This window comes from Homo sapiens, chromosome 8 (assembly GCF_000001405.40).
Source record: "Homo sapiens chromosome 8, GRCh38.p14 Primary Assembly".
Classification (NCBI taxonomy): domain Eukaryota; kingdom Metazoa; phylum Chordata; class Mammalia; order Primates; family Hominidae; genus Homo; species Homo sapiens.
Window position 1 is genome coordinate 81,856,033 of NC_000008.11, and position 14,616 is coordinate 81,870,648.

General features: G+C 38.2%; 1 long non-coding RNA gene across 8 annotated transcripts in view, besides 1 other annotated feature; it reads left to right on the forward strand.

Annotated features, from left to right (window-relative positions):
• LINC02235 (long intergenic non-protein coding RNA 2235) overlaps positions 1-14,616 on the forward strand; it is an 81,042-nt gene that overhangs the window by 13,414 nt on the left and 53,012 nt on the right. For 2 of the 8 annotated variants that reach the window (NR_170320.1, NR_170319.1), the window contains one exon: positions 7,377-7,623. The exons of the other annotated variants lie outside the window; for them this stretch is intronic. This is a non-coding gene — a long non-coding RNA (long intergenic non-protein coding RNA 2235). The remainder of the gene's footprint in view (positions 1-7,376; positions 7,624-14,616) is intronic. 8 annotated transcript variants of the gene reach the window in all.
• Positions 9,415-10,236: an enhancer, noted in NCBI's record as "OCT4-NANOG hESC enhancer chr8:82777682-82778503 (GRCh37/hg19 assembly coordinates)". NCBI's record gives its function as "activates a minimal SCP1, AML or CMV promoter by ChIP-STARR-seq in naive H9 embryonic stem cells {active_cell/tissue: H9 hESC(naive)}" and the evidence as "EXISTENCE:reporter gene assay evidence [ECO:0000049][PMID:30033119]".

Sequence of the window (14,616 nt, forward strand, 5' to 3'; positions counted from 1 at the left end):
GGGTTTTCCTTTTGATTCAGTTTTAGGAAGTCAGCATGAATTGGCCTTAGGTTCCCTGCCTCCAGACCCTATTCTCTTGCCTAAATATTTATTCGGCAAGCCTCTGCTATGGCCTTACTCCCATCAATGCGGTTTTCTCTGTATGTCTGCCTTCCTGACCAGAACAGGAAGGCTTTAAGGCTGAGAGAGTGTCTTTTTTGTTTTCGTCTCCACTGGCTGAAAGAAACATGGGCACTTAGTGGTGCTAAACTGAATGATTAAATAAATGAAAATGAGTAAAGTTTTCTTATTAGATCAGTGTGGTGGTTTAATATAAATAAACCTATACACACACATTCTCAGTGAAATTATGTTTTGTAGAAACAATAAATGGAAGCTCACTCCATAAAACAAAAGCGAAACAGCTCTGGTTAAAGAGAAAGAACACCTTTAATTATTTGAGTAATTTGTAAATCAGTGGGCTATATAGATAATTTCTAAGGTCCACTTCAGATCTAACTCTTGAGTTTATGTCTATCAATGGAAATCTGAAGTCAATAACGAAATAAATATTACAGCCTAGTTAGCATTGCTAAGATCCATAAAAGGCACTAGGAAGAGCCAAAATAAAATTTTAAAAAAGTTAAACTTCTGAAATTAAATAGACCAATGAATCAGACATTATTGTGTATTTAAGTCTTTGTCTTAAGTGAGTTTGAGATAACTCGTGGCATATGTGTAGAGAATGATATATATTCTCTGAGTTCCCAGTGCTAGGGATTTTAACACCCCAGTTTATAAGAGACTCTTCCAAAAAAGAAAGAAAAAAAAGTTTCCAAGGAGAAAACATCCTTGAAAAGGCAGCAAGTCTCTAACCCATCAACACCAGGATTCCCGCTTATCTTCTAGAGGAGCTTGATACCTCTTCAGGGAGGACTTAAACATCTGGCTTACCCACGAGTCTTTTGTTTGGGTTACTTTTGATGTTTTTCATGTGAAATATGGGGCAATGATAGTTCTTATGAGGTTATTTTGAAAACTAAAAACAATCCTGCTTGTTAAATGCTTAGCAAAGTGACTGCCAAAAAAATCCAATAGCTATTATCATTACCTCCTGAGTCAACTAGGCAGCTCAGCTACTTTAAAAGATGTAAACAATATTAGTAATAATGTATATAGATATTTGTTAAATGAACAAATAGCAGTTAAGAGCAGAGAACTGTGCTGTTGACCTTGTCCATTAATTTTTGACCCATATTTCTGTTTTTTCCTATGGACTTTTATTTACTTATTTGTTTTTTCCAGTTTTATTTAGCTTCAATGTACAAATAAAATTGTATGAATTTAAGGTGTACAACATGATGATTCAATATTTGTATAAGTTGTGAAATGAGTTCCATAATAAATTAACACATTACATTGATTTATTTAAACCCCACAATAATCCAGTGAGATGGTACTACTAATATAATTGTATTTCACAGATTTGAGTTGCTGAGAGGTTGATTAGCTTGTCCTTTGGGAAAGTTATTCTGAGAAGTTATCTTGTTTGGCATCATTAGGACTCAAAACCAGTTCTGTCTCCAAAACCCATGCCAGATTCCCACTCCGCCTTACATTCTCCTTCACTCTTGGAAGTGGAGCCTGGACCTTTGAAAAGCCACACTTGGCAAGACACTGGTTGAAAACTAAGTCTCTGAACTTAGTTCCAGGAAGTCCTGGTTTCTGCACACCATTTAATACACATAGTATCTAGCCCAAATGATTTCAGTTTTTTTTCTTTCACTTTGACCATTAGCTAATTCTAGCATAATTTATGCACCCTAGCTTTGGCCCCTAAAAATATTTCATCTTGGTAAACTGATGTTATCCTGTGCCTATTCTGTCCTCTAGTCTTCTGTTGTTTTTCTGACTTACTCTCTGGTATTAGTTCTGATGTCTCACTTCTTTCATTTTCCATGTTGAAAGACTGGATCAACCAGACAGATTGGAAGGTGTTGATCAGTTGAAGCATGTTTCTGGAGAGGAGACGAGGAATATAGTTGGGTAGAAGAGTGTCCCAGGCAGAAATGTGTAAATGATATTATATAGAAGTTGCTTAATAATGAGACAATATTGTTTGAATTGAATTAAAGACTTGCAGGCATAAAACTGGAATTTTTGCATGGTTATAATAATGGCCTTAGTTCTATGAGGAGCCAGATCTTAATACTTATTCAACAAATATTTCTCGAGTGTCTACCGTATGTGCCAGTTATTGTTCTAAGACTGCAGGAATTTACTAGTAACAAGATATGCAAGTTCACTGTTCTCATGAGGTCCATATTCTGGTGGACTCTGGTGAAGGCTTATGCAGGAGCAGTCATAAACATAATAACTAAGTTTTAAGAATTTATATTCATATTCTTTGCAGAAAATAAAATAGAGTAATGTAAGAGTTGCTTAGGTGGGGGAAGTGAAGCAATTATAGATTGGGGTATCAAATCAAGTTTTTCTGAGAATGTGTCATGACTGCTGAAATTTTAGTGTCTACAAGAAAACAACCTTGCAAAAATCTGGTGGCTGAGCTTCCAGGAAAACTGCCTCACAAGAAAAAGGGAAACTTGTTATCAAAAGTGCTCCCTTTTCCTTCTTGTAAGAGCTCCAATTCCAGGAAGTAAGTGCTAGATGTTTCTCTAATCACATATGTGATCCATATGTCCCTGAGACATTAGATTTCTAAATTTAATACCCAATTCCTCCTCATTTCAAACCCTGACTTCCTTGTTAAGGAATTCAGGCACTTGTAGATTTTTCTTTTCCTGAATATTCTTGGCATCCCTAAAAGGCATATTCAATGCTTTAGGGAATCTGTTCTGGTTGTTGTTCCCTGTCACTGTTGCTGGATGAGGTGCTGTCATTGCCTTTGCCGCTGGCTGAGTCACTGCTTGCCTTGACAGTTCTGCACTAGCCTTTGCCCTAAAAGAGATTAGTCATGCAGTGTCTCTTGAGTTAAATTCTGACACTATGGATGCAAGCTAGAGAGCTGTCGGTAATACTACCTACCTCCACTAAGCTGGAGACTCAGTACAAGTCAACTGAAATGGAGAAGCTTCTTTAATTTTTACATGAATCTGAAAGTATTACAGAGTTTAGTGAGCCAGTTCTTTCAGTTTTGTTCACAATCCTCTTCTCCTCAGGGAGCACCATACTGCGTGGGTGGCTGAGTTGGCAGAAGCTTCTGTAACAACTGTCTAATGGACCTTACTGGCAGCCAACTCTCTGAATCCTTTTTTGTGTCTAGGGAATCCTTGCCCTCTGTATTTTGGTAAGAGGTCAGAGCCCACTTCCAACTATAAAATTGTAAATTGTTAACATACTTGCTTTCTCAGCCTCCTTTGAAACTAATGTATAGATACATGCCCTAGGCATGCTAATCAAATGAACCTGATTGGTGTCTGAAGTATAGGATCTAATGTTCAGTGGTAACAGCATCCTCACAAGACTAGTTTTGTGGTTTAGTTTGAAGCTTTGTTTCTGGCTGCATTGTCCCCAAGCTTTCTAGAATTTCTATGAGCTAGTCAATATCCTTAATATCTTCCTTAAATTGGACACAGCAACTTTTGGCTGCTTGTTACATAAGCATGTGAAGAAAAGGGCCAAGAAAAAGGCTAAGAGAAGAGAAGTACTTATTTCTTGTGCGTGGGGGAAAATATTCTCCTCTTCTCTTCAATTGCATATGAACAAAAAAAGCACAGAGTCCTGACTGCCTTTGGCAGTCATCTTGCAATTGCAAGGGAATCTCTTCCGAATGAAGCCAATAGGAGGACAGCAGAATGAAGAATGATAAAGCATTTAGATAATATCATTGAGCCTTTGATTGTACTGTACCCAGAGTCTACTCTGCTTTTGAATTTGAAATTACATGAGATAATATGTTTTCTATTGATAAGCAAGCTTAAGTTAGGATTTTCTGCTGTAACTATCTATACTACGATAGATACAATAGATACAAATAATAATGGCTAACCTTTATTGAGAATTTAAAATTTTGCAGGAACCTTTAATTTTTTGACAAATATCAGTTGAGCATCTACATATATTTACTTGTTTAACTGTTATAATAATTCTAATGTTACAACAATGCAGTATAGTCATGTGTCTCATAACAATGTTTTGATCATGATGAACTGCATATCTGATGGTGGTACCATAACATCATATTGGAGCTGAAAAATTTCTATCACCTACAGATGTTGTAGCCATTGTAATGTCATAGCACAACACATTACCTTTTCTATATTTAGAGATGTTTATATATACAGACACCATAGTGTTACAATTACCTATAGTATTTAGTACAGTGACCTGCTGTATAGGTTTGTAGCACAGGAGCAATAGGCTGTACCATCTAGCCTAGATGTGTAATAAGCCTAGGTGTGGCAGAAGCTCATGTAACAACTCTCTAATGGACCCTATTGGTAGCCAACTCTCTGAATCTTTTGCTGTGCCTGGGGAATTTCTGCCCTATGTATCTTGGTAAGAGGTCAGAGCACACTTCCCAATATAAAATTGTAAATTTTAATATACTTGCTTTCTCAGCCTCCTTGCTATTTAGGTTTGTGTAAGTACACTCTATGTTTGCACAATGACAAAATCACCTAATGATGCATTTATCAGAATGTATACCTGCTGTTAAGTGATGCATAACTGTATTAAGTATGCAGCTGGATGTATATATTTATACATAGACATGTGCATAAATATGGATATATATGTGTATAAATATAGATATAAGCATGTATATGGATATTCATATAGGCATAGGTATGGCTATGGCTGTAAGTATAGATAAAGGTATAAACATAGAGATAAAGATTATGCACCTAGGTGACAAATGAGATTTCTATGTTGTCCTGAAATAGCTAAAATCCAAAGCTGAAGATACAAGTTGCTAAGTGTCCCCATGTCCTAAGAGTATAGCGCACAAGTAGTTAAAGCTACAATATTTTCCAAAATTCTTATCGAGGAGTGCCAGTTCAGAGAACTGGCCCAATCACCAACATCACCCAGGTACTGTTAGAGGAGGTCTTAAGATAGGATGGTGTGCCCTTTTGGAGAATGCAGTGTTTATGAAGTGTGGCTGTTTCTTTCCCATCACAGCAGTTAACAGTTTAAACAACATTTATTTTTTCAACCTCATAATCAGGATAGCCTACTACTCAATAGAAGATATTGCCCTGTACCCTGCGTCTCTCACTCAGCCCATTTCATCTTTTAATACCACATCCTGAATTAGGTAGTATGCTTTGGGGGTATAAATAATAGAAACTATAGCTTAAACTTGCTGAAAAATTAGTAAGAAAATTTTTGGTTTAATTCTCAGAAAAATCTAGAAATAGGACAGATTTCAGGTTTGGATGATTGCGAGACTTTCTGTTCTCCTTTCTGTGGTGTTAGGTTAATTAGCCTCATGGATGTAGAATGGCTGCTAGTAGTAATCAAGCTTATGTGTTTCTCTGGTTAGTCCAGTGAGAAAGAACTTTTGTCTAAATATGCCAACCAAGAGCCCTGAGATTCATACTGACTAAACTGTTTAAGTCACATGCCCAACAATGTACCAGTGACTTTGGTCAGGGGAATAGAACATGTTTGCTGTCTTAGGTCAACCAAGGTCTACCCCTGAGGTCTGAGAATCTGAATCAGCTTTACATAAAATATGTAGGTTACATGGGCACGAATATGGATATCCAAATTAAAACCTGAAAGCTGTTAGGAAGGGAGAATAGAACATGAATGTTGAAAAACAATCAATAATGTTTCCTCCAAGGAAAGTTAATGACCTAATGAGAGGCGATCAATAGTGAGGATCTATGTAAACCCTAGGTAAGAGGCAGAAAAATTCGGTATCCCAAATAATAGGTAACAGATGTGCAGCTTTTAGAGAAAGGTTGGGATAGCTTTGAATAATTCTTTCTCAATTAAGATCTTCTTACCCTTTCACTGGCATCTGTATTCATTTGTGGAAAGTCAGGTTAGGTGGTATCTAGAACAGGTGGAGGAAGGCTATTCCTTATAGTGATCCATTGGTAGAAGCACTGACTTTATTGTAGCTGCTTAGTGATGAGGAGCATCTGCCCACTGACAACAGTCCAGCTGGAGAAATGGTAATGTTGGCCCCTGCCTCCAGTTTTCTCTTCCCTAGAAGAGAAGAGACACACTCCGTGGAACAGAAAAGGAAGGAGCACACCACCTAGGCTTATTTCCAAAAGCTGGTTGAATGTTTCTATCTGAATGTTCCATCAGTACTTTAAAGTAATCATGTCTTTAGTGCCGCCTCCTCTCTACCTAGCTATTCCTTCTCCTCTCCACTTTGGTGATGATATCGCTGCCTACCAGGCCACCCAAAGCCAAAAACTTGGGAATTGTCCTAGATTTCCCTAACTGTATTACTTCCCCTTGTCAGAAGCAATCCCTGTCGATTGGTTTCTAAATATCAGCTAAAACTATTTTCTCTTCTAGCATCACCACAAATACATACCTTAGGTATTTACATAAATTGCCTTGGACTCATACAGTTAGCTCCAGATTAGTCTCCTAGACACTGGACACCCTTTCTTGACTTTGCTACTAAAGTGAGCATTCTGGAACACAAATCTACATGCATTATAATTCATCGCTCAAAATTCTTTATTATTTCAGTCACTTAAGTTGGAGTCTCTACCAATGGAGATAAAATGAAAAACCCTTTATTCTGGCAGCTGGCACACAAGGGACCTTTATAATGTGGCTCCTGCATACCAACTCTAGCCACATCATTTCTTATTTTCTTTTTCTCTCCTCTTAGTCCAGGTCCTGGATCAATCACTTTTCATAAATGTGAAATGTCTCCTTTCCTTGGTCTGTGCTGCTTCTTTCCTCTTCTCTGAAGACCTCCATTTATAAAGCTCACATTTTAAATCCTGTGTGTGTGTGTGTGTGTGTGTTTACAAATTTTCCAAGCTTACTTGACATTTCTTCTTCTAGTCTTTTGTAGAGAGTGTGTTAGTCTTTTGTAGAGAGTTTGGTCTTTGTCACACTGCATTGAAATTGTTTCCATGTTTGTTTCCCCATTCAGTCAGCCAACATTTCTTGAACAACTTTTATGTGTGAAGAATAATTCTAGGTGCTGGCCACATAAAAGTAAATACTTCATACATATTGACTTCAATCAGCAGTTAGGTAGAGATAGGCATTTAAATCAGTAAAGATAATAAAAGTGTTCTAGATGCTCAGATGTGTCTCTCAACAGAGTATCTGATCATAAATAAGCATAAAGAAGAGAGGGGCAATTTTGCTTGGAGTTGGAAATTGTGTGTCAGATCAGAGCTAGTTAATTTTACATGTGTTATTTCATTTATTCTTTTCACCAACAAAAGATATTTAATGGAGACTGTGGAAAAGATGGCCAATGAGATGCAGCCAGCAGGTGTCACTCCCACCAAGAGAGACCAAATTATTGAGTAAACCAACATAATTTGGGCAGCTCTTAAGAGAGAAAATGCCAAGAGTGGATGGAGAGATGATGCTGAAGCTGTAGCTGAAGAAAGAGGAAGCTGGGAACCCTGCATGGGGCACCTGAATGCGAGGGCTAACTCCCAGCCTTGAATGGCTCCTGGGAAAGTGGTGAGTGAGGGAACTGACGGGTGGCTCACTCTCACTGCAGACATCTGGGATCCTAGCTACAGGGGAGCCCGTATCCCCATGGACATGTGAGCTGGCAGGTGGATCACCCCTGGGAGAAGGCAGAGACAGGATTTTGGACAGCAGAGATCCCAGGAGCTTTTGAGTGCTGGGAAGCTCTGATGGAGCATGGTCATAGGTACCTATCCCCCAGCGCTCCCAATCCTCTTCTGGGAGGCTCTGGCTCTAGCTGACCACCAAGCCAGGAGAAACTGGGGCTGGCTGCCTCATGGGACTGGGACATGTCTATTCCATAAGCCCTCCTGCCCACCAGCCTCTCCCAAGGCCCATGTCTAGCCACCTCACAGGACTGGGTACCAAACACAGCCTCTGCAGCCCAATCTGAATCCATTGCCCCACCTGAGTATTTTTCTGGTGACCTGAAAGCACATCAGATTCCCCAATGCAGTTGGAGCCCAACCCCAAGCCACAGAACATCCTGGTACCCCCAGAGCTGTGGCATGCAGCTTGGGAGTACCAAACTGAGATCTGTGACCAGCAATTAAGTCATGGTGGAGCCCTCACTCTCAGCTCACTGAGATGGGCAAGACTTGTGGGTTTCTGGGCCAGGGCAGGAGTGGGGCATGTCTTCCTCCACAGGGCTGGCCCAGAAAGGGTGTGGCCTATCTTTCAATTGCAGCCCCTGCACAAGGGAGCCCCATGGCCCAGAACACCTCACCAAAAAAAAAAAAAATGCAAGTGTGGCACAAGTGATTGGAGGGGACTTCCCCAAGGCCAAGAAGCAGACCTGGTGAGGGGGCCATCTCTCTCCCATCCATACACTGGAGAGTATGCCTTTGAATGAAAGGAAGTCCAAAAAGGCTGTGCAACTGGGTAATAGCCTAGCTACAAACCATTACTTGTAAGCACTGTCTACTGGATCAGAGCTCAAACTATACCATCAAAAATTATTGGGCTAATATGTACACTGTTGAAACCAAGTACAAGAATTCACTTACATATAACAATTCCTTACAGAGCCCTGGCCTTCTAAAAGTATCCAAAAAAGAAGCCAACTGACTGTACTCAACTTACACCACAATTAAAGGAACATCAGCTCTCCTAGACGAGAAAGAATCAGCACAATAATTTTGACAATTCAGAAAGCCAGAGTATCACCTTTACCTCCAAAAAGTCCACTTGCTCTCTAGCAATGGTTCTTAATGAGATTGAAATGTCTAAAATGACAAACAGAGAATTCAGAATCTGGGTAGAAAGGAAGCACATTGAGATCAGAAGGAAGTTGAAACCCAATCCAAGAAATCCAAAGCATCCAGTAAAATAATCCAAGAGCTGAAATACAAAATAGCTATTTTAAGATAAAACCAAACTGAACTTCTAGAGCTGAAAAATTCACTACAAGAATTTTATAATACAATTGGAAGTATTAACAGCATAATAAATCAATCTGGGGAAAGAATCTTGAGTTTAAAGACTGGTTCTTCGGATCAACTCAGACCAAAAAAAAAAAGAATTTTAAAAAATGAACAATGAACAAACCTCCAAGAAGTATGGGATTATGTAAATAGACAAAATCTATGACTCATTGGCATTCCTGAGAGAAAAGGAGAGAGAATAAGCAACTTGGAAAATATATTTGAGGGTAGAGTTGATGAAAATTTATCTAATCTTGCTAGAGAGGTTGACATGCAATTCCAAGAAACAGAGAACCCTAACTATATACTATACAAGGAAACCATCCCCAAGGCACATAGTCATCAGACTCACCAAGGGCAATACAAAAGAAAAAATCTTATAGGCAGCTTGAGATAAGGGTCAATTCATGTACAGAGGGAAACCCATCAGACTGGCAGAAGACCTCTCACCAGAAACTGTACAAGCCAGAAGAGATGGGGCCTATTTTCAGTGTCCTTAAAAGAAATTCTAACCAAGAATTTTATATCCTACTAAACTAAGATTCATAAGTGAAGGAGAAATAAAATCTTTCTCAGACAAGCTAATGCTCAGGGGATAATTTCAACTAGACCAGCTTTACAATAAGTCCTCAATGGTATACTAAACATGATATCAAAACAATGGCACTTGCTACCACAAAAAGACAGTTAAGCACATAGCCTACAGGCACTATAAAGCAATTATCCAATCAAGTCTGCATAACAACCAGCTAACAACACAATGACAGGATCAAAAGCTCACATATCAATACTAACCTTGAATGTAAATGGGCTAATTGTCTCACATAAAAGGCATAGGGTAACAAGCTGGATAAAGACAAGACCCAACCATCTACTATCTTCAAGAGATCCATCTCACATGCAATGACACCCACAGGCTCAAAGTAAAGTAATGGAGAAGGATCTACCATGCTAATGGAAATAAAAGAGCAAAGAGCAGGAGTCACAATTTTTTTTTTTTTTTTTTTGAGATCAAATCTCACTCTGTCACTAGGCTGGAGTACAGTGGCACAATCTCGGCTCACTGCATGCAACCTCTGCCTCCCGGGTTCAAGTGATTCTTCTGCCTCAGCCTCCCTAGTAGCTGGGACTACAGGCGCTCACCACCATGCCTGGCTAATTCTTTTTATTTTTAGTAGAGATGGGGTTTCACTATGTTGGCCAGGATGGTCTTGATCTCTTGACCTCGTGATCTACCCACCTCGGCCTCCCAAAGTGCTGGGATTGCAGGTGTGAGCCACTGCACCTGGCCAGGAGTCACTATTCTTATGTCAGATAAAACAGATTGTAAATGAATAAAAATTAAGGACAAAGAAGTGCTTTACATAATGACAAAGGGTACATTCCAACAAGAAGACTTAATTATCCTAAATTTAAACACATCCAACATTGGAGCATACAGGTTCATAAAACAAGTTCTTCTTGGCCTACAAAAAGACTTAGATAACCACACAATAATAGTGGGGGAACTTCAACACCCCAGTACAATAATACAAATCAATACCAAGAAAACCTCTCAGCCAGGCGCGGTGGCTCACGCCTGTAATCCCAGCACTTTGGGAGGCCAAGGTGGGCGGATCACGAAGTCAGGAGATCAAGACCATCCTGGCTAACATGGTGAAACCTTGTCTCTACTAAAAATACAAAAAATTAGCCAAGCGTGGTGGCAGGTGCCTGTAGTCCCAGCTACTCGGGAGGCTGAGGCAGGAGAATGGCATGAACCCAAAAGGTGGAGCTTGCAGTGAGCCGAGATGGTGCCACTGCACTCTAGCCTGGGTGACAGAGTGAGACACTGTCTTAAAAAAAAAAAAAAAAAGAAAAGAAAGAAAGAAAAGAAAATCTCTCAAAACTAAATAAATACATGGAAATTAAATAACTTGCTAATTAATAACTCCTGGGTTAACCTCAAAATTAAGACAAAAATCAAAAAGTTCTTGAAATTAATGAAAATAGGGAAACAACTTACCAAAATCTCTGTGATGAGCTAAAGCAGTGTTAAGAGAAAAGCTTATGATGCTAAACACTTCATCAAGAAGTTATAAAGATCTCAAATTAACAATCTAACTTTGCACCTAAAGGAACTAGAGAAAAAGGAACAAACCAACTCCAAAGCTAGCAGAGGAAAGGAAATAACTGAAATTAGAGAAGAACTGAATGGAATTGAGGTGCAAAAAGCTGCATGAAAGATCAATGAAACCAAGAGTTGATTTCTTGAAAAAACAAGATTGGATAGAACAATAGCTAGATTAACAAAAAGAAAGAGAAGATCCAAATAAGTATAATCAGAAATGATAAAGATGACATTACAACCAATCCTGCAGAAATACAAAAGATTCTCAGAGAATACTATGAATAACTTTATGCACACAAGTAAGAAAACCTAGATGGAAATATGCGACCTACCAAGATGGAATCAGGAAGAGATTGAAGCCCTGAATAGACCAAAATTGAGCTCTGAAATTGAATCAGTAATAAAATACCTACTAACCAAAACCACCCCTGGACCAGATGAATTCATAGCTGAATTCTACCAGATGTACAGAGAAGAGCTGGTATCAATACTACTAAAACTATTCCAAAAAAATCAAGCAAAAGGGGCTCCTCAACTTATTTTATGAAACCAGCACCAGCCTAATCCTAAAATCTGATAGAGGCACACACAGTAAAACAAAACTTCATGCCAATATCCCTGATGAACATACATGCAAAAAGTCCTCAATATAATATTAGCAAACCAAATCCAACAGCACATCATAAAGTTAATACACCATGATCAAGTAGGCTTTATTCCTGAGAGGCAAGTCTGATTCAAAATACACAAATCAATAAGTGTGATTCACCACATAATCAGAATTAAAAGAACAATGCGATCATCTCAATGGATGCAAAAAATGCTTTTGATAAAATTCAATATCATTTTATAATAGAACCCTCAACAGACTAGGCATCAAAGGAATATACCTCAAAATAGTAAGAGCCATTTATGAAATCCCCACAGCCCACATTATACTGAATGAGCCAAAGCTGTATTTCCCTTGAAAACTGGAACATGTCAAGGATGCCCACTCTCACAACTCTTATTCAACATAATATTGGAAATCCTAGCTACTGCAATCAGGCAAGAGAAAGAAGGCATCCAAATAGTAAAAGAAGAAATTAAACTATCTGTCTTCACTGATGATATGATTCTATATCTAGAAAACCCTAAAGACTCTGTGAAAAGGCTACTAGAACTGATTAATAATTTTAGCTAGGTTTCAGGATACAAAAGCAATGTACAAAAATCAGTAGCATTTCTATTCACAAGTAATGTCTAGGCTGAGAGTCCAATCAAGAACGTGATCTCATTTACAATAGCCACAAAGAAAATGAAATACCTAGGAATGCAGCTAACCAAGGAGGTGAAAGGTGTCTACAAGGAGAACTACAAAACACTGCTGAAAGAAATCAGAGACGACAGAAATGAAAAAACATTCTATGCTCGTAGATTTGAAAAATCAATATTATTAAAATGGTCATTCTGCCCAAAGCAATCTACAGATTTAATGTTTTTCTTATTAAACTACTAATGTCATTCTTCACAGTATTAGAAAAAAAAATTCCAAACTTCATATAGAACCAAGAAAGTGCAAATAGCCAAAGCAATCCTAAGCAAAAAGAACAAAGCTGGAGGCATCACACTACCCTACTTCAAACTATGCTAGGCTATAGTAACCAAAATAGCATTGTACTGGTACAGACACTTAGACCAATGGAACACAATAGAGAACCCAGAAATAAAGCTGCACAGCTGCAGCCATCTGATCTTTGACAAAGCTGACAAAAGCAAGCAATGGGAAAAGGACTCCTTATTTAATCAGTGGTGCTGGGATAACTGGTGAGCCACATGCGGAAGAATGTAACTGGAGTCCTATCTTTACCCATATACAAAAATTAACTCAAGATGGGGTAAAGATTTGAATGTAAGACCTCAAACTATAAAAATCCTAGAAGAAAATCCAGGAAATGCCCTTGTTGACATTGGCGATGGCAAAGAATTTTTTATGATGTCCCCAAAAACAACTGCAACAAAAACCAAGAACTGACAAGTGGGACCTAATTAAACTGAAAAGCTTCTGCACAGCAAAAGAAACTATCAACAGAGTAAACAGACAACAGACAGAATAAGAAAATATTTGCAAACTATGCATCCAACAAAGATCTAATATCCAGAATCTATAAGGAACTTAAATAAATCAACAAGCAAAAAACAACCCCATTAACAATAGGCAAAGACATGAATAGATACTTCTGAAAAAGAAGACATACAAGTGACCAAGAAGCATATGAAAAAATGTTCATCATCAATCATCATTAGAAAAATGCAAATCAAAAACCACAATGAGATACCATTTCACACCAGTCAGAATGGTTATTATTAAAAAGTCAAAAAACCACTGCTGGCAAGGTAGCAGAAACAAAGAGTACATTTATACATTGTTGGTGAGAATGCAAATTAATTCGTCCCCTGTGGAAAGCAGTTTGGAGATTTCTCAGAGAATTTAAAACAGAACCCCCATTTGACCCATTAATTCCATTCTTGGATATATACCTAAAGGAAAATAGGTATATATAAATAAATTATACCAAAAAAAACACATTCACTGGTATATTCATTGCCACACTATTTATAATAGCAAAGACATGGAATTGACCTAGGTGCCCATCAATAGTGGATTGGATAAAGAAAATGTGGTATATCTACATCTTGGAATATTACGTGGCCATAAAAAGAACAAAATCATGTCCTTTGCAGCAACATGGATGAAGCTGGACGCTATAATCCTAAGCGAATTAATGCAGGAACAGAAAATGCCTACCACATGTTCTCACACATAAGTGGGAGCTAGTCGCTTGTTTCCTCATAGCAGTGTCTGGGTTCCAAGGGTGGGCATCCTAAGATAGAGGGAAGAGCATATTGAAGTTATATCACTTTTTCTCATTGGCCTTGGAAGTCCCTGCATTCTATTCATTAGGAATGCTTCACTAAGGCCAGCTCAAATCTGAGTAAAAGGGAATTAGACTTTTGATTGATGCAGTATCAAGGAATTTGCCTATCTGATTTAAATCCACTACAGCACCTAGTAATAATAGCTACCACTTATGAAACACTTAAATATAGTGAGCATTATTCTATAGCCTTTACTTCACTCAGTTATTTAATCCTCATGACAATCTTATATTATTATACCTATTTAACATATAAGGAAATCTGGATGCAATAAGTTAAGTATTTTACTAAGACCACACTGATAATAAGAAGTGTAATCACTATTGAAGTCCTGACAATTTGGCTCCAGGGTCTATGTTCTTAACTGCTATGCTGAGCTGTCTATCTATTGTACTGTCTGGAATATAGAGTAGACCAATATACATTTGTTTAATGGATAAATGCTTTGTATTTGGGGCTTCCGTCTATGTAAAGCCATTGCTAGTAAAGCCATTCTTTAAGTGAATGATTTCATATGTCATCCTTCCTCGG